The sequence below is a fragment of the Homo sapiens genome, chromosome 15, assembly GCF_000001405.40.
Source record: "Homo sapiens chromosome 15, GRCh38.p14 Primary Assembly".
NCBI lineage: Eukaryota > Metazoa > Chordata > Mammalia > Primates > Hominidae > Homo > Homo sapiens.
Genome location: NC_000015.10, coordinates 63650181 through 63670190, shown reverse-complemented (window position 1 = coordinate 63670190; position 20010 = coordinate 63650181). Strand labels below are relative to the sequence as shown.

Sequence of the window (20010 nt, the reverse complement as noted above, 5' to 3'; positions counted from 1 at the left end):
GACTAGACAGTTACCTTTTCTTTCCATAACTTGCCTGTAAACCATTACTTTCAATCCATGTGAATAATTTCATGACTAGCTAGTGAGTTTATATTAATATTTAAAAGTAACTGCAAGTTACCTATCTTTAAAAGCCTTCTTTGCACTGTAACTGTACATACCAAATTACCCCTCTTATCTTGGTATTATAGTTGAAGGAAAGCTCTGTGAAGGCAGGCATTTTTCATCTATTTTGCTAATGGCTGTATTCCCCCAACCTGCTTTGTTGCTGGCATTTTGCTGAAAGAATCATAAGGTTTTATTACATTTATACTGAAAGTGCTGCATGAGATAATCATTTTTAAAACTAAGGAGTCTTTCTCCCCACCCTCCATTAAACTATAACTAACCTGTTTAGTCTTCCAGGTTGCATATTCTTCTATAAGAAGATTGTGATGTATGTATTATTTCGTAAATTGGATTTTTATGCTAACCACTGTTATTTTCTTAAAGGCAAATGTTCTCTAGTTACCCAACTACCACTGTACTTCCCACACGTCGGGCACAGACTCCTCCAATATCTTCGTTACCAACCTCTCCTTCTGATGAAGTAGGAAGGAGGCAAAGTTTAACTTCTCCTGATTCCCAGTCAGCAAGGCCAGCTAACCGCACAGGTGCGTGTGCTGATATGCACTATGATATCCAAAGTTGGCATTCCAGATGTGTGGGACTTTATTATGTGGGCATTGTGTTTTGTCTTCACAGAAGGTAAAACAGTGATTTTAATGAAGGGGAACTGCCCCATTAAACTGAGCTATGATCTTCATGTTGAAGCTGTGGATTGAATTATGGCCATTTCGGAGAGAAATAATGTGCTGTACATTAGTCATATCAGCTCTTCATTTTTCCCAATATAGCCATTTTTAGTGTTGTAAGTTTCCCTTTAAGTACTGCTTTAGCTGCAACCCACACATTTTGAAATGCTGTGTTTTCATTTTCATTTAAAGTACTTTCTAATTTGCCTTTGATGTCTTCTTTGCCCTCTGGACTATTTGGAAGTATGTTATTTAGTTTTCAAATATTTGGGGGATTTTCTAGATATCGTTTTGTTACTGCTTTCTAATTTTATTATTGTCAGAGAACATATCTTGTATAATTTGAATCACTTTAAATTTATTGAGACTTGTCTTACAGCCTAGAATATCATCTGTTTTGGTAAATATTCCAAGTGCACTTGGAAAATACGTGTATTGTGCTGTTGTTGAGTGTTCTATAAATTGTTTAGCAGGCTCAAATTGGTTGATACTGTTGTCCAAGTCTTCTTTATCCTTTCTGGTTTTTTTGTCTACTTGTTCTGTCTATTATTGAGAGAGTGTTGTTGAAATCTGTGACGATAATAGTGGATTTTTCTATTTCCTGTTTTCAGTTTCTGTTTCATATATTTTAAAGCTCTGTCTTTAGGTTCATAAACATTTAGGATTCTTACGTTCTTTTAATGAATAGACCTTCTGTTATTATGAAATGCCTTTATCCTTGGTGATATTTTTTTGCCCTGAAATCTGCTTTCTCTGATGTTATAGCCACTCCTGCTTTTTAAAAATTGTTAGGATGGTTTGTCTTTACTCATCATTTTACTTTTCATCCATTTGTGTCTCTATATTTAAAATGGGTAAAGGCAGCATGTTGTAGTAGTTAGGTCTTGCTTTGTTTGTTTGTTTGTTTGTTTTTAGAGACAGCCTCTTGCTCTGTCACCCGGGCTGGAGTGACCTTGGGTCACTGTAGCCTCAACCTCTTGGGCTCAAGCAGTTCTCCCACCTCAGCTTCCCAAGTAGCTGGGACTACAGGTGCATGCCACCACACCCAGCTAATTTCTGTAATTTTTTGTAGAGACAGGGTCGTACCATGTTGCCCAGGCTGGTCTCAAACTCCTGACCTCAAGGGAATCTTGCTTTTTTTAATCCAATCTGATATTCTCTACCTTTTAATTGGGGTGTGTATGCCTTTTACATTTAATGTGATCATTGATATGGTTGGTTTTAAATCCACCTTCTTTCTATTTTGTTCCACCTGTTTTTTGTTCTCTTTTGAATTAATTAACTTTCTTTGAATTAAATAAGTTTTATTATTCCATTTTACCTCCTTTGTTGGCTTATTAGCTATACAGTTGACCCTTGAACATTGCAGGGATTGCAGCACCAACCCCCTGAACAGTTGAAAATCTGTATATAACTTTTGACTCCATAAAGATGAGAAGATATATTTACTATTCATTAAGTGGAAGTGGATCATCATAAAAGTCTTCATTATAGTCATATTCCCGTTGAGTAGGCTAGGAAAAGGAGGGACTAGTCTTGCTCTCCCAGGAGTGGCAGAGGCAGAAGAAAATCCACATGTAAGTGGACCCGAGCAGTACAAACCCATGTTGTTCAAGAGTCAACTGTACTTCGTTTTATATTTTTAGAGATTACCTTCTGGTTTATAGTATATGTCTTTAATTATCAGAGTCTACCTTAAGGTGATATTGTACCACTTCATATGTAGTTAAAGTAATAATTTTACAACAGGATGATTTTATTTTCCTTTTCTCATCATTTATACTTTTGTTTTCATACATTTCACTTTTACACATAAGCTCCATAATAAATTATTATTTGTTTTGGATAGTTTTTATAGCTATATCTTCTAATTCATTCATCTTTTCTTCTGCAGTGTCTAATGTTCTGTTAATGTCCAGTGTATTTTTCTATTCAGACACTATAGTTTTCATCAGTAGACATTTGATTTGTTTTTTTTTAATCTCATCTTCCGTGTTTATTTCACATGCTCAATCTTTCCTCTAACTTACTGAATACATGGAATAATAGTTGATTCTCATTATTAGCAATAGTTATGTTCTAAAAGGTTATTATGAACACTGAATTAGCAAATACTGAACCATTGCTCCTAGGAGAAATACAGGGTTAAGTTCCTGTGAACTTCTAGTTACATTTCCATCATCTGATCAGTATGCTGTATAATCTTGTTTTGTGCATCTTTCTGTTTAAAGATACCACATTTAATACATACTGTTTATTCACTAACATTGAGCTTATGGCCACCAACACTATAGCTCATCATGAATGAAGCTTATCTAACATATGTATTTTCTTCATAAGGCACATTACAGCATCCTTGTGCTTAGAAACACTAGACAGCACTTTAGCACTATGCTTGGGGCCATTTTAATCAGGGAAATCACCGACCAAAAGCATAAAAATGCGAAGAATGTAGCACTAAATAGACTATGAAAAGGACACTTGTTTTTCACATGAGAGCTGAAACATGAAGGCAGAGCATCACCTTGTTGGACCTCAGCTGTGAACACATATGTTGAGGGACTAAACTTTTTAGTCCCTCTGCATATGTCACAAATGACTACAAAAGTACATGAGTATTGATTTTGAGATTACAAATAAATTTTATTGAGTATACAGATTTACAAATATGGAACTTGGATGAGGAGTGGGTTATTTACATACTCTTATAGTACCTCTACACAAATCTTTACAAAGTATAACATAAATGGATGTTAGTAAAACTGGGATTACAGGTGTGAGCCACAGTGCCCAGCCACATATTCTGAGTAGAGGAAAATTTCATTAAACTTGGACAATACTAGGAAATTGAGGACTATGAAGACACTTTTTACTCACGGTATCTAGTGATATTTAGGTTCTTATTTCTCTTCCTTTTGTCTCAGCCTTGTCAGACCCAAGCAGTAGACTTTCAACTTCTCCTCCTCCTCCAGCAATTGCAGTTCCCTTGCTGGAAATGGGGTTCTCTCTTCGGCAGATTGCCAAAGCCATGGAAGCTACAGGTAGGATAAGTTTTTATATATCAGTGTATACAGATATGAGAAGTCCTAGCTTATTAAAGACAACATAACTTTTAAGAGGCTATGAAACTTGGTAAGATTTTTAACACTATATTTTGTTACAAGAGCATCATAGCAAACACTCTTATAACATAAAGACCTAATTCTTTGCCCAAAGTCAGCATCAGACTGTTTTTCCCCTGTATAGGTGCTAGGGGAGAGGCTGATGCCCAGAATATCACTGTCCTTGCCATGTGGATGATAGAGCACCCTGGGCATGAGGATGAAGAGGAGCCCCAGTCGGGCAGCACAGCAGACTCTAGGCCTGGAGCAGCCGTTCTAGGCAGTGGCGGGAAGTCAAATGATCCCTGTTATTTGCAGTCACCTGGAGACATACCATCAGCTGATGCTGCTGAAATGGAGGAAGGTTTTAGTGAAAGGTGAAATTCCAGTTTCTGTACTTTTGTTCCATGTGTTATAAATTTCAAAGCCCCATTTATTATATATCCCGTCATAAATGCTTCTAATTGTATGTAAAGTTGATAAATATAGTTATATGAAAAGATGGGCATTTTAGTTACAAGTTTATATTTCTGTGAAGGGTAAAAGTGACATGACAAGTTTTGATTTGAGTAGGTGTTTTCATGCCAGAAGAAATTTCATAATTTTTGTGTAAAATTGTACTGAAAAAGGAAACAAGTTTATTTTGAAGTAAACATGCTAATAAAATAATTTTATCTCGTACAAGTGATATAAAATCGAGTATTCATTTTAATATTGGACATTGATTTAATGTATTTGATAGAATTGAACTTTTTTTTTTCTGAGACGGAGTCTCGCTCTGTCGCCAGGCTGGAGTGCAGTGGCGCGATATCGGCTCACTGCAGCAACCTCCGCCTCCCCGGTTCAAGCAGTTCCCTGCCTCAGCCTCCCAAGTAGCTGGGACTATAGGCATGTGCCACCATGCCCGGCTCATTTTTTGTATTTTTAGTAGAGACAGGGTTTCACCATGTTGGCCAGGACGGTCTCGAACTCCAGACTTCGTGATCCACCCACCTTGGTCTTCCAAAGTGCTGGGATTACAGGCATGAGCCACCGTTCCTGGCCTAGAATTGAACTTTTAAGTCTTCTCTGTGTAATATTTATATTTTCATCTCTTCTATAGTTTTTAATATCTAGTAGAAGATGCCCCTTTAAGTGTAAAAAGATTGCTGTGATAATGCCTATCCTAAAATGAGATGTATAGAATATCTTACAAATTCTCCCTAAAATCTTTTTTCCTTCATCACTTCTTATGACTTTAAATCTTTATTTTTCATTTTAACTATGGAGCCATATAGTAACCAAGGCTTGTGTCCTAGATGGCATGCAAGCTTTTTCCAACAAGCTCAGTGAATATTTTCATAACGTATTTCAAAATACCTGTTTTTCCTAGGCAAGAATTCTCAATCATTTCAAATTTTAAGTATTTAATCTTTTAGGATTTAGTTAAGGTCATATTTGATCTCATTTAAATTTGAGCTTCATTAAACATCATTTTGTTGTTGGAAGAATTCAAAATCAGACAAAGTTATTGCTCAGGTCACAGGAAATGTTATATGCATAATTGAACTGTTCAAGGGATAAAGATGTGTTTCAAATTTTATCATAAACATATTTTATTCTCAATGAGAATAAAGTAGTACTACAAGTAAGCTTACACCTATGCTTTCTTTCCATAATGGTTTCAAAAACTTTGTGTTGCTTTCTCACTTGCACTTGTAGCCCTGATAATTTGGATCATACAGAGAATGCAGCTTCTGGAAGTGGACCATCAGCTAGAGGTCGCTCAGCGGTAACAAGAAGACACAAGTTTGACTTAGCTGCTCGCACACTGCTAGCAAGAGCAGGTAATTTTATGTTCCGTATCCTTTTCTTTGTGAAAGATCTTATTTTGAAAGCAATGTAAAGGCACATTAAAGAAGATTCAAACTAATGATACTAAGTGCTCAGTCCCTCCACATTAACAGAACAGCTATTTGGATATCATTTTCTATGCATTTACATAATTTTATTTAAATCGTAGCATACATTCATAGGCTTATTTTTAAGTTTCCCTGGGTGCAGAAGTCTATACTGGCCACTTGTAGATTTTGAGAAATTATATAAATGCTCTTCCTTCTGCTCTCAGTCAATTATAATTTAAGAAGTGATGATGCATGTTTAATGTTTAGCATCAGTGGTAAGAAGGAGCTGGAAAGGGCACTGTGCCAAAAAAGTAGGCCCTGGCTTTTCTGATGTACTGCTCTGTGGTTGTTAGGGCTTCACTGCTAGATAAGGACCAGATTCCCTCATTACATTAGTAAATTCTAGGATTACGTTCTGGGCATGTAAAATATAAATTATAGGGAATATATTTTCCAAACCAAAAACTTGAATATGTGATTTGTCAAAACAGAATTTGATCACTGAAATACTATAACATGAGTAATGATTCAGTAATTTACAGGAACAGTGAGAGAACTGTATATTTCTCATATAATTAAGGTAACTGATTTTTTTTAAAACCTAAAAGAATAGTAATAGCCAATATTTATTGAAGTTTTTTTCTATATGATTAACATTATATCAGTGGCTCATGCCTATAATCCCAGCACTTTGGGAGGTGGAGGCAGGAGAAATCACTTGAGGCTAGGAGTTTGAGACCAGCCTGGGCCACATAGCAAGACCCTGTCTTTACAAAAAAATTAAAAAACGGTTAGCTGGGTATGGTGGCATGTGCCTGTAGTCCTAGCTACTCAGAGGCTGAGACAGGAGGATGTCTTGAGCCCAGGGGTTCAGGGTTACAGTGAGCTGGGATTGTGCCATTGCACTCCAGCTTGAGTGACAGATCCAGATCCTGTCTCTAAAAACAGCAACAAAAACATTATAAAGCATCGCATGGATTCTCTTACTTAAACCTATCAATAACCCAGTGAGATATGAGTGCTATTATTATCCCCTTTTGCAAGAGAGGAAACACACGTGATAGGTATAATTTGATGTTTTATGGTCTGAGATCCAATAAGACAACTGAGATAGGTTCTCACCTACATGTATGGCAGTTAAGAACTGGCGAAATATTCAGAATTATTTTATGCATGCAAATAAAATGCCTTTTTTGTTTTGTTCTGAGCGGGATTATACCGCTCTGTGCAGGCCCACAGGAATCAAAGTCGGAGAGAAGGAATATCTTTGCAGCAAGACCCAGGGGCGTTGTATGACTTTAATTTAGATGAGGAATTGGAAATTGATCTTGATGATGAGGCGATGGAAGCTATGTTTGGACAAGACCTGACCAGTGACAATGATATTCTGGGAATGTGGATCCCAGAGGTACTGGATTGGCCTACCTGGGTGTGTGTGACTGCAGCGGGGGCTGCTCTGACTTATTTTCCTGCCCTCCTGTTCATATAGCTTACTAACAGCAGCCTTGCCTAGAGTTGAAACACTCTAAAAAGTCTTTTATCTCATCCTGAGGTTTGGGGATTTAAAGTTATGAGGTTACTTTGATACCTACAAACTAATAAGGAAAAGTCTCTCTTGCTTTCTCTGTGGGATTTTATTGTTTCTCTCCCCAGACAAGATGAATAGAGTCATACTGTGGTAATATTTGATTCTGATGTCAAAGATAAATTACAAAACAAGCATCAGGTTCCAGTAGACGTTGACAGGTTATATAACATGGCTGCTGTGCTCACATTGCTATCTGAATGCATGTTCTTCTCCTTCATAGGTTCCATTTAATCAATGTAATGCCTTATTCTAGGAACCAGTGCTCACCTAGATCTTGTAAATACCTCCATTTAGGGGCAAGGTACATGGTGGATTTGTATATACATTGGTTAGCATTACATTTTTGTAGTAGGGAGACCAAAAAGCTCATAGATGTAAGTCCTACAGGAAAGAGAATCTGCTATATAAATAAGTGAATCATAATGATTTTTCCCAAAAATTCATAAAGTAGGTATGCATTTTGTGACCAGATGAAAATTAGTTCTTTTCACTAGTGGAGTTTTTTTTTTAAAAAGCCTCATTTTGAGATAGGACAGATTGTCATGTTCATTAACTCTTCTCAGTAGGATACTCAGTTACTTGTATTATTGATATAACTTATTAGAGTGAGAGAGGGCAAAGAACACCTTCCGATTGTGTTATCTGAATTCTGATTTGAAAGAAATTTTTTATTTAGCATTAATGAACATGTTGGAAATATTCTAGCATATGTAATAAAGTAATTTAATATAAATAATCTACTTGGTACTTCTTGGTTTTATGTTAAATTGACTAATCATTTGGTATGAAATCCTTTTGTGCAGCATGTTTGTGAGTCTGAAGACAGGGAAGAAGTGGTGGTGTGTGAACTGTGTGAATGCAGCGTCGTCAGCTTCAATCAGCACATGAAGAGAAACCATCCAGGCTGTGGGCGCAGTGCAAACCGCCAGGGCTATCGCAGCAATGGTTCCTATGTGGATGGCTGGTTTGGCGGTGAATGTGGGAGTGGAAATCCGTACTACCTGTTATGTGGCACCTGCAGGGAGAAGTACTTAGCCATGAAGACCAAATCTAAGTCAACAAGTTCTGAAAGGTACCTTGAAATTGTGTAGATATCCAGACCTCCTGAAGATACCTCATACCTTAAGTCTTGGGAACTGTAGATTTTTCACGTGAGGAGTTACATTTAACCTTCCCTGAAATCCCGTGATTCTTACACTTTGGGCAGAAGGGATGGAGGGGTTTCAGAAATTCATGTTCCCAGGAATAATGGCATAGCAACATATCCTTCCCTGGAGTTTGACTGTGTTAACCTCTGACTTGTTGGCAAGTAATGGTCAGGACCCTTGCCTTAACCCTCAGGAGGCTTCTACTCAATTCTTTTCATTTGTATTTTCTACCATATTTCTGGCATTTTAATTAAGATCTTTTTCCTGATGAAAAAAACAGACTTTTGATTAAACGAGTTCCATAAAAATATTATCTCTTTACATCCTTAATCCCTAGAGAGTAGGTTTGTTGCCCTTAATTGTCAACTATTAAAATCTTTAAGGCTTTATGGAATAGAATTTGGTTAAAAGAGTTGTTTTAGGTAACCCAGAAATCTCCCCAGTAGTTTGGTAAAATAATCATTGATTTTGTAAGCATGTGTGTACCTACATACCAGCAGTTTTTATTATGTTAGCCTATAACATGAAACATACTTTTTTATTTTGTGCTGCTTTATTAATGACCTCTTAAAATGTTCTAATGACTTAATTTGCATCTTGGGGTACTAACTGTTTTATATAAAAATGCAATGTTCTTCATGTTTGGTGCAGGTACAAGGGACAAGCTCCAGATCTAATTGGCAAGCAAGACAGTGTGTATGAAGGTAGTTTGTTTTGAGAGCTTCTTTATTTTACATGTTTTTTTATATATCCTCTCTGCTTAACATCTGTTACTAAAATTCACCTTCGTGTGTGTGTGTGTTTGTATTTGTGTACATGTTAACTTAAATTTTCCCTTAAAAACTCAAGGGAATTTAATAGCAACAACGCTGGTTTAAAAGTCAAAGGAAAAGAACGTGGTTTCAAAGACCAACTTTACCACAGAATATTAATTTCTATTAGGTGTATTTTTTTTTCAAAGTAGGGAAAGGATGTGGTATATTTTGAATTTCCACCCTAATTGTGGAAAGTAAAAAATAAATAGAGATGAGCATTGATTTTTCTGGAGCACTCATTTTCTTGAAATAACTCATTCCCTAATGATTACAGACAGCTAAGAACTCTTTGTTGGACCCATGACAATATTTTTAATTAGTTTAAACCTCTATTACCAGCTGTAGCATTTGCTATTGCTGTCAACTTATTTAACTACATTGACTCCCTTTCCCTGAGAGTCTCACTTATGCTTCAGGAGTGCAGTTTGGTTAAGTTTTCAGGAGATGGTGCCATAGTTCATTATGTGGTCACTGGACTTTCAGTCCATCTGCATTTTATGTATGTATGTATTTATTTATTTATTTATTGTTTTTATTTCTTTGAGATGGAGTCTCACTCTGTTGTCCAGGCTGTAGTGCTGTGGCGTGATCTCAGCTTACTGCAGCCACGGCCTCCCAGGTTCAAGCAATTCTCCGGTCTCAGCCTCCTGAGTAGCTGGGATTACAGGCACACACCACCATGCCTGGCTAATTTTTGTATTTTTTGGTGGGGATGGGGTTTCATCATGTTGGCCAGGCTGGTCTCAAATTCCTGACCTCATGTGATCCAGTCGCCTCGGCCTCCCAGAGTGTTGGGATTACAGGCGTGAGCCATCGCATCTGGCTGCTCATCTGCATTTTAGATGTATTTTCAGAACAACCATTGCCAGCAGATTTATGTAATATTTAAATTCACATACTATACATTTATTTATTTAAATTCCAGAAGACTGGGACATGTTGGATGTTGATGAAGATGAAAAGCTAACTGGTGAAGAAGAATTTGAATTACTTGCTGGACCGCTTGGTTTAAATGACCGGCGCATTGTACCAGAACCAGTTCAGTTCCCTGACAGCGATCCACTGGGAGCATCAGTAGCAATGGTCACAGCCACCAACAGTATGGAAGAGACTCTGATGCAAATAGGTAAACTGAAATCCTGATTTGCATTGATTTTATAGCATCTACTATAATTTGTTTCTTAGATAGGTAAATAATAATAATAAAGTAAAAGTAAATAAGACTAATGGTTCAACATTATCTCACCCCAACAAGTCTCTTTAGCCAGTTGTTTTAACATTTTGAAGGTATAATGTGGTATTAAGTTTTGGCTGGGCTTGGTGGCTTATGCTCGTAATCCCAGCACTTTGGAAGGCTGAAGAAAGAAGGTCGCTTGAGGCCAGCAGTTCAAGACCAGGCTGGGCAACATGGTGAGACCCATTTCTATTAAAAAAATGAAGAAAAGTAGCTGGGTGGGTGGTGTGCACCTTTAGTCCCAGCTACTCAGGAGGCTGAGGCAGAAAAATTGTTTAATCCCAGGAGTTTGAGGTTATGGTGAGTGATGATTGAGCCACTGCACTCCAGCCTGGGTGACAGAACCAGACCCTGTCTCAAGAGGAAAAAATAAATGTTTTGATTTTTTTTTGTCTTTCATGATACCGAAGCAATAAAAAGATTTATAGAACTTGTTATTTAAAAAAAAACTTGGTGTTAAGAGAATCCTGTAACCAACTTAAAATTATTGTGCAGTCTTCTTTTTATTTGGGTGAGAGGGTGTGGTAAATTTTTGGTATAGGGAATACAAAATAAAGAATTGGGCAGTATTGGTAATTCAGTCCTTTATAAATTCTCAAAGCACTTATAATCAGTAGATGTGATACATGGGCAAAATGAACAAAACAGAAAATACTTACTGGTAAATTAAGTATAAATACTCCTATGGTAAATACATTGTTAACATAGAAATATCTAAGTTAGAAATATCCAAGTTCAAACTTAGAAATATGTGAGTTTCTCCTAAGAAATTTTCTGTATAACCAAGTTCCAGATGAGCAAAAGACATTGGTTTGTTATGGAACCTCTGTAGAATAGGAAATGTTTTTAGTAGTTCAGATGTATTTTTTTCTTACCTTGTTGAGAACAAAACAGAATTATGTTTTTCAGGTTGCCATGGCTCCGTAGAAAAGAGCTCCTCTGGGAGAATAACGTTAGGAGAGCAGGCAGCTGCCCTAGCAAACCCTCATGACCGTGTGGTGGCTTTAAGGAGAGTGACTGCTGCTGCTCAGGTTCTTCTGGCCAGAACCATGGTCATGAGAGCGCTGTCTCTTCTCTCAGTCAGGTAAGTGTTATTTTATGTCACATGATGCTAAGTTAACTTCTAGTGTACATTAGCTGGAAGTCTGGTGGTGTTTGGGAGGGTGAGATAGAATTTTAGAAGCTTGAATATGTACTGTTGAATGAAAGATGTTAGACGTAGTCATTGTTATTCACTCAATCGGTCATTCAGTTAATACTTGGCTCTTTTTAGGTAGAAAATAATGCCATTATCACAACTGAGTAAACTGCATACATTTTATTTTGTTGCTTGAAATGGGAAACTAAGGCTGTTGATCCCAATGGTGCTGGATCAAAAACTAAAGGTCAAAATGTATTGACCGTCTGTGTAGCTAAGTCAGCCTGCAGATGCCATCATGGGGATCCTTGCCGTGTTGATACTGTGGAGTGTAATGTAAAAAGGGGATGAGAACCAGAAATACCTAAAAGACAGCTGTTTAAGAAGTGATTAAGCAGGAGTATTTAATGGCAAATCAGTGAAGGCAGAAAGATCCTGAAAGAAAAACAAAATTTCCATAAGACTGTGTGCTATTGGCTCAAGGATAGGCAAATAGGATAGTACAGAAGAGAGTTAAGAAACTGACCCATACATATAAATAAACACTTGATTTATGGTTTGATTTATGACAGTGGTTCACACTGTAGAGCAATAGAGAAAGGCTGTTTTTTTCAGTAACTGAAGCAGGGTCTGATGGTTTATCCACATAGAAAAAAAAAGCCTTGGTCCCAACCTCAAACTATATAAAGCAAATAGTTATAAAGTGGCTATTAGATCTAAATATAAAAGAAAAATAAATCAATAAAGTTTATTGAAGGTAACATAGAAGAATTGCTTCTTGGTCTTGGGACAAGCAAAAATTCCTCAAGCAAGTCACAAAAGGAATCTGCCATAAAAGATTGATAAATTGGAATACAATAAAATAGAAAACCTCTGTTTAGCAAAAGTGATTTGAAAAGTAAGAAAGTAAAAAAGCAAGCCATAGAATGGGAGAAGATATTAGTAATGCATCTAACCAACAGAATGTGTAAAGAATTCCTATAAATTAACAAGAAAAAGACAACCCAGAAGAAAGTGGACAAAACACATTAAGAAGTGTTTCACAAAAGAGGATCTCCAAATGGCCAATAAACATGAAAAGATGTTCAACCTCAGTGAGTCTTCAGAGAAATGAAAATTAAAATCCAGTGTGATTGGGAGGCCAAGACGGGAAGAACCCTTGAGCCAGGAGTTTGAGACCAGCCTGGGAAACATAGTGAGACCCTGTCTCAAAAAAAAAAAAAAAAAAACCTAAGACAAAAAACCCACCAATGAGATACCATTGCACACCCACAAGAATGGCAAACATTTAAAACACTAGAGAGAAAAAAGTGACTGAAACAGCTAAAACTCCCATACATTGTTAGTGAGAAAATGAATTGGTATAACCACTTTGGAAAACTGTTCGATAGTATCAACTAAAACTGAACAGGAACATACTCTGTGACCCAGAGATCCACTTCTGGGTATATATCCAACAGAAATACTTAAATATGTGCCCCCTAAAGACCAATCATTCATGGTAGTACTATTCATAATAGCCCCATGTTGGAAACCGCCTGATTGTCATCTGTAGGGATAAATGAACTGTGGCAGATTTCATGTATATGTCAATGAAAACGAACTGCTCAATGCTACAAGATTTGGATGAATCTTACAAACATAATATTGAAGAAGCCAGACACAAAAGAGTACATATATTAATTATTCAATTGATGTAAAGTTCAAAAACAGGCAAAACTAACTTGTAGCTTTAGAAGTCAGGATAGTGGTTACTTCTGAGAGCATCGTGACTGAGAAAAGCCCAAAGCAGGTTTCTGAGGTACTGGCAATGTTCTGTTTCTTGATCTGGAGGGCGGTGACATGGGTTTGTTCAGCTTATGAAAATTTATGCTTTGTGAACATTCCTGTTTTACTTTGTCAGTTCAATTGTACTTCAAGTATATGCCAATACTTATTAAAAGGAGAGAACGTTTAGATGCCAGTTTCCAGCTTGATACCTTTGGCAACTCTTAGGACATGTATGGCTAATGATAGTGCAGCTTACATTTTATTATGGTTGTTGATGCTGTGAATGTTATGTGGGACTGCAAATGGTCCCTTAAGAAATCCATTTTCTTTATCCATCTGAGATGTTTTTCTTTACTGGCAGTGGTTCCAGTTGTAGCCTGGCTGCTGGTCTTGAGTCTCTGGGGCTAACAGATATCCGAACGCTAGTTCGATTAATGTGCTTGGCAGCAGCAGGGAGAGCTGGCCTCTCCACCAGCCCTTCTGCCATGGCTAGCACCTCAGAACGATCACGAGGTGGGCATAGCAAGGCTAACAAGCCTATCTCTTGCCTGGCCTATTTGAGCACAGCAGTGGGATGTCTGGCATCAAATGCTCCTAGTGCTGCCAAACTGCTTGTACAGTTGTGTACACAGGTAAGCTACTTTCAGTACTTTTCCCCGTTACATTGATTATTTCTGACTGATTCTTGAGCCTTTTGAAATGAAATATTTTTGTTCCAAAATTACATGTAAAAATTAAGTCTGTTTTTCCAATTGCTTCTTCAGAACTTGATTTCTGCTGCAACAGGTGTAAATCTAACCACAGTTGATGACTCAATTCAGCGAAAGTTTCTACCCAGCTTTCTCCGAGGAATTGCTGAAGAGAACAAGCTTGTGACCTCCCCAAACTTTGTTGTAACACAGGCCCTTGTGGCATTGCTAGCAGACAAAGGGGCCAAACTAAGACCTAACTATGATAAGTCAGAAGTTGAAAAGAAAGGTAAGTTTCATACTACTGAAACATACAGTCTTCTAATCGACTTCTTATTTTTAAATAATGTTTTTACATTGTTAGTATATGATAAATTATATGACGTGAGTTTCTTAAGTTTAGAACATAAAAGAAGTGCATAGATACTTTTTCACTGTGTATGGAAACAAAGATTAGAAAATGTACCATATTAGTTTAGTTATAGATTATGATTTGAGTTAACCATAGATAATAATCCTGGTAGGTTTCTTTAATAAAATTTAGATGAAGGCAGTGTTATTTTTCTCTTTGTTTTAAGATTATAACACTTTGAAGGGACTACTTATCAGTACTGCCTTTCTCTTCATCAGGACCATTTAGCCAAGAGATAACTGGCTTTTGTTTTTTGTTTCTTTTTGAGACAGAGTCTCACTCTGTCACCCAAACTGGAGTGCAGTGGCACAATCTTGGCTCAGTACAACCTCCACCTCCTGGGCTCAAGTGATTCTCCTGCCTCAGCCTCCCAAGTAGCTGGGATTACAGGCACATGCCACCATGCCCGGCTAATTTTTCTATTTTTAGTAGAGATGGGGTTTCGCCATGTTGGCCAGGCTTGTCTTGAACTCCTGGCCTCGTGTGATCCTCCCACCTCGACCTCCCAAAGTCCTCAGATTACAGGCATGAGCCACCACACCCAGCCGATACTGGCTTTTGGATCTATCAGCCCAGTTCCTTGACTGGTTACAGTCACACCATCACTTTTGAGCAACAAAAGCCAAACTGTTTTCTTAAAGGCATGCCATCTCCATCCTGGTTTTAAAATTATTTCTGCTGCTTTCTTAGTCTACTGAGTCCTTGGAGCAAAGACTATTGATTGTTGTATAATAAATTTTTTTTTTTTTTGAGATGGAGTCTTGCTGTGTCACCCAGGCTGGAGTACAGTGGCGCAGTCTCGGCTCACCGCAACCTCCGTCTCCCAGCTTGAAGCAATTCTCCTGCCTCAGCCTCCCGAGTAGCTGGGATTATAGGCACGTGCCACCATACCATGGTGTGGCTAATTTTTTTTTTTTTTGTATTTTCAGTAGAGATGGGGGTTTCACCATGTTGGCCAGGCTGGTCTCGAACTCCTGACCTCAGGTGATCCTCCCACCTTGGCCTCCCAAAGCACTGGGATTACAGGCGTGAGCCACCATGCCTGGCCTAAAATGTATATTTTTAATGAATCAGATTTCTTACAGAATTTGATGTGAGATAAATGCTTTATTTCTTGTGTGCATATTTTAGTGAAATAATTGCTTGCAAAAGTGCCAATTCTTAAAAGATATGGGTTAACCCATTTGCTTGTTCACCACCACCAAATCTCACCTGAGCATCATTTCATGTTTTGTTTAAGCAGGTTTAATTGCCCAATTGTATGCCCATCCTTCCTATGATCCTTCTGCTGTAGGCCCTCTGGAGTTGGCTAATGCCCTGGCAGCCTGCTGCCTCTCCTCCAGGCTGTCCTCACAGCATCGGCAATGGGCAGCTCAGCAACTCGTGCGCACTCTTGCTGCACACGACCGTGACAACCAAACTACTCTGCAGACACTTGCTGATATGGGAGGAGATCTTAGAAAATGCTCCTTTATCAAATTGGAGGCTCATCAGAACAGAGTAAGTATTTTGAGTGGAAAGTGTGTTAATCACGTTATGTAAGATGAAATAGTCTCTTCTCTTCTCAAGGAGCTCAAAGTTTAGGTCTCTCTCTTTGTGTCACTCTCTTTCACACGTACACATACACATGCACACAATTACAAAGATGTTCCTGGCAGTTACCAACTCTACTTTCTCTGTATGCTGGTTTGATATAATAGTATACGAATTGGAGAATTGGATGGGGGATGAGAAGAAAACCAAAGGAATAGCTTCACAAAAGATGAAGACTTATGCATTTGATCCTCTGTATCCGTGGGTTCTGCATCCATTGATTCAACCAACTACCAATGGAAAATATTGGGGTAAAAAATAATGATCCAATAATAAAAAATAATACAAATGAAAAGTACAGTATAACTGTTTACATAGTATTTACATTCTGTTAGGTATTTAAAGTAATCATGAGATGATTTAAATTACATGGGAGGATATATATATGTTCTATGCAGATACTACCCCATTTTTATAAGGAATCTATCTGCAAATTTGGGGCAGGGAATCATGGAACCAATCACCCACAGATACTGAAGGACAACACGCAAAAGGAAAAGAAATTGGCCTCACTATTTTAATCTAACCCATGGGGTCTCTGAGCTGTAACAAGAAATGAAGATTGAATTGTATTACTTAAACAGTTTTTTTTTAACGGAGTCTCACCCAGACTGAAGTACAGTGGTGAGATCTCGGCTCACTGTAGTCCCCGCCTCCCGGGTTCAAGTGATTCTCCTGCCTCAGCCTCCCGCATAGCTGGGATTACAGATGTACACCACCACACTCGGCTAATTTTTTTGTATTTTTAGTGGAGACAGGGTTTTTCCATGTTGGCCAGGCTGGTCTCAAACTCCTGACCTCAGGTGATCCGCCTGCCTTGGCCTCCCACAGTGCTGGGATTACAGGTGTGAGCCACTGCACCTGGCCTACTTAAACAATTTTTAAAATTACTTCTTAGTCTGTGTTATTTATTTTATAGAACATAAAATGTTAAAGTACTTATTAAGTAAACATATTTAGTAAAGATTATAATAGGTCTCAGATAATTCAAATGCATTAGTGCATAGTACCTTAAAGCTATACTTCAAATAAGTATAGCTTCAAATATATTTGCAAGCCATTTAGAAAAGAATGGAGGCTGGGTGTGGTGGCTTATGCCTGTAATCCCAGAATTTTGAGAGGCTGAGGTGGGCGGATCACTTGAGGCCAGGCATTCGAGACCAGCCTGGCCATCATGGCGAAACCTATCTCTACTAAAAATACAAAAATTATCCAGTTGTGGTGGCACGTGCCTGTAATCCAGCTGTTTGGAGGCTGAGGCATGAAAATTGCTTAAACACGGGAGATGGAGGTTGCAGTGAGCTGAGATTGAGCCACTGCACTCCAGTCTGGGCAACAGAGCAAGACTTCATCTCAAGAAAAGAAAGGAATGGATGCTTTTCTTTTAATTTCATGGTAGATTTTTAAAAATTGGATACAACTTTTTCAAATAATAAAATCATTTGAATAGAAAATTATTAGACTACCTGTTTCAACTTTTCTAGGTAATGACATGTGTTTGGTGTAATAAAAAAGGTCTTTTGGCTACAAGTGGCAATGATGGCACCATCCGCGTATGGAATGTTACCAAGAAGCAATATTCACTGCAACAGACCTGTGTGTTCAACAGATTGTGAGTGCTAACATCACGTGTATACCATTTAAAATAAGAGAATCCTAAACATGCCTCATCTTGGTTGTGTTAATGTAATCATATTGTCACTAAAATTTTTTGAAATTTTCTTTTAGATTAGTATTACTGTATTTTCAGTGTGTATTTTTAACTTTCCAGGATAACAATTCAGAAAACATAATTTTAAATCATCTGTATCTGGACTTAGAATTAAATCAAGATCTACTAGTAAATAAATGTTCAACTATGTAAAACAGTAGGCTAATTTGCTATAGGTCTTTAAGAGTTGTTTAGGAATTAGAGTAATTATATTGCTTCCGTATCAGAATGTAGCATTTTCAACAGTTTTTTTTGTTTTGTTTTGTTTTTTTCTTTTTTGAGACTGAGTCTCGCTCTGCTGCCTAGGCTAGAGTGCAGTGGTGCAATCTCAGCTCACCACAACCTCTGCCTCCTGGGTTCAAGTGATTCTGCTGCCTTCTCTTCCCAAGAAGCTGGGACTACAGGTGCCTGCCACCATGCCCGGCTAATTTTTGTATTATTAGTAGAGACAGGGTTTCACTATGTTGGCCAGGCTGGTCTCAAACTCCTGACCTTCTGATCTGCCTGCCCCAGCCTCCCAAATGCTGGGATTACAGATGTGAGCCACTACGCCCAGCCGCATTTTTAATAGTTTTATAGCCAGCTGTAGCTATTTCTTTTCTGAAGTATTCCCAAGAGTTTAGGCAAATAAGAATCAATGTCTTCTGAATAATAACCATCTGTACAACACATACAGAATTTGAATGTCTTTATTGACAAGTTGTGTACTACATTAAATGAGGAAAAGTCTAATATCACTCTTTTATAATTCATTTTTCACATGATGACAAACATTAATGAGTGTGTAACTGTTAAATACTGCTAGCCAAGGTTTTGAAACAGAAGAATCAGTTATACACTCTAGTCTATATGAAACCCTTATTTTAAGGTTTGGGATTTAATTTACTTTTGAATGATGGGGATTAGAACTGCATATCTGTCTGTTATATTCTAGGGAAGGGGATGCTGAGGAAAGCCTGGGATCACCCAGTGATCCAAGTTTCTCACCAGTTTCCTGGAGTATCAGTGGCAAATATCTAGCAGGCGCTTTGGAAAAGATGGTGAATATCTGGCAAGTTAATGGTAAGAGTCATGTAAACACTAGTAAACTGCTGAAAGTAGTTTTTTAAAGCCTTCTTCTTAGTCTTCTGAGTCCAAACAGTGGTTTCTCTTCACCTTGAAATTCACAAGCCTTCCAACAACTCTGAAATTTCAATCTATGCACTGTGTGCTTCAAATTAGAGAGGAAGTGCTCATTTATTCACTTTTCTTTCTGGGACTTTCAACTAACCTAGTAGTTATAAACTTAAATTTTTTTTCTTGTACCACTAAGTATTCAGAGTAGGGTTTGGGGAGATGTAGTTGTCACTGAATTTTAAGCTATGTATTCTTTTGAATTGCTTGAAATATTTCTATTATGTTTATTTTGCAGGTATAAATTCTTGTCAGTTTTTATTATACCTCTCTGGAAAGTAAAAATAATTATTGTAATATCGAGCTTATTAGTATTTTCATTTGTTTTTACATATTTGAGGAATAGGTGTTCTGTGTCACATATTTGAGGAATAACTTCTGTGTGACATTTGAGGAATAGCTAGCCTTAACTGCAAGTAAGTTTCTTATGCCAATTTGGTTATCAGTAATTGTTGAGAAAGGACTTAAGTGCTTGACATTTGTACATTTGTACATTCAGTGTTTTTCTTTACACTCTCTTCTATAACGCTACCATTTTGCCCTATTAATAGTTACAGACAGCCAGGCGTGGTGACATATGCCTGGAACCTCAGGGACTCAGGAAGCTGAGGCTCAAGGATTGCTTGGGCCTGGGAGTTTGAGGCTTCAGTGAGCCATGATCATGCCATTGTACTCACTCCAACCTGGGCAACACAGCAAGACCCTCTTTCAAAAAAAAAAAAAAGGTTACAGAAAAACATTAATTTTATTTATTTATTTATTTATTTTGAGACGGAGTCTTGCTCTGTCATTCAGGCTGGAGTGCAGTGGCGTGATCTCGGCTCACTGCAGCCTCCATCTCCCAGGTAGCTGGGACTACAGGCGCGTGCCACCATGCCTGGCCAATTTTTTGTGTAGTTTTAGTAGAGAAGAGGTTTCACCATGTTGACTAGGCTGGTCTCGAATTCCTGACCTCAGGTGA

General features: G+C 37.8%; 1 protein-coding gene across 50 annotated transcripts in view, besides 1 other annotated feature; it reads left to right on the top strand.

Annotated features, from left to right (window-relative positions):
• Positions 1 to 20010, top strand: part of HERC1 (HECT and RLD domain containing E3 ubiquitin protein ligase family member 1) — a 225331-nt gene that overhangs the window by 163758 nt on the left and 41563 nt on the right. For 23 of the 50 annotated variants that reach the window (XM_047433247.1, XM_047433234.1, XM_047433241.1 and 20 more), the window contains exons 40-53: positions 493 to 653; positions 3719 to 3835; positions 4041 to 4272; positions 5597 to 5721; positions 6987 to 7207; positions 8170 to 8438; positions 9166 to 9218; positions 10255 to 10455; positions 11458 to 11647; positions 13833 to 14103; positions 14236 to 14449; positions 15816 to 16072; positions 17650 to 17777; positions 18811 to 18938. In XM_047433247.1, the coding sequence (XP_047289203.1) occupies positions 493 to 653; positions 3719 to 3835; positions 4041 to 4272; positions 5597 to 5721; positions 6987 to 7207; positions 8170 to 8438; positions 9166 to 9218; positions 10255 to 10455; positions 11458 to 11647; positions 13833 to 14103; positions 14236 to 14449; positions 15816 to 16072; positions 17650 to 17777; positions 18811 to 18938 (2567 nt within the window). The remainder of the gene's footprint in view (positions 1 to 492; positions 654 to 3718; positions 3836 to 4040; positions 4273 to 5596; positions 5722 to 6986; positions 7208 to 8169; positions 8439 to 9165; positions 9219 to 10254; positions 10456 to 11457; positions 11648 to 13832; positions 14104 to 14235; positions 14450 to 15815; positions 16073 to 17649; positions 17778 to 18810; positions 18939 to 20010) is intronic. The other 27 variants (XM_047433260.1, XM_047433255.1, XM_047433251.1 and 24 more) reach the window with 8 other exon arrangements.
• Positions 4033 to 4203: a silencer, noted in NCBI's record as "fragment chr15:63958187-63958357 (GRCh37/hg19 assembly coordinates)". NCBI's record gives its function as "represses an EF-1alpha promoter that drives an FKBP-Casp9 reporter gene in an ReSE screen in HepG2 liver carcinoma cells {active_cell/tissue: HepG2}" and the evidence as "EXISTENCE:reporter gene assay evidence [ECO:0000049][PMID:32094911]".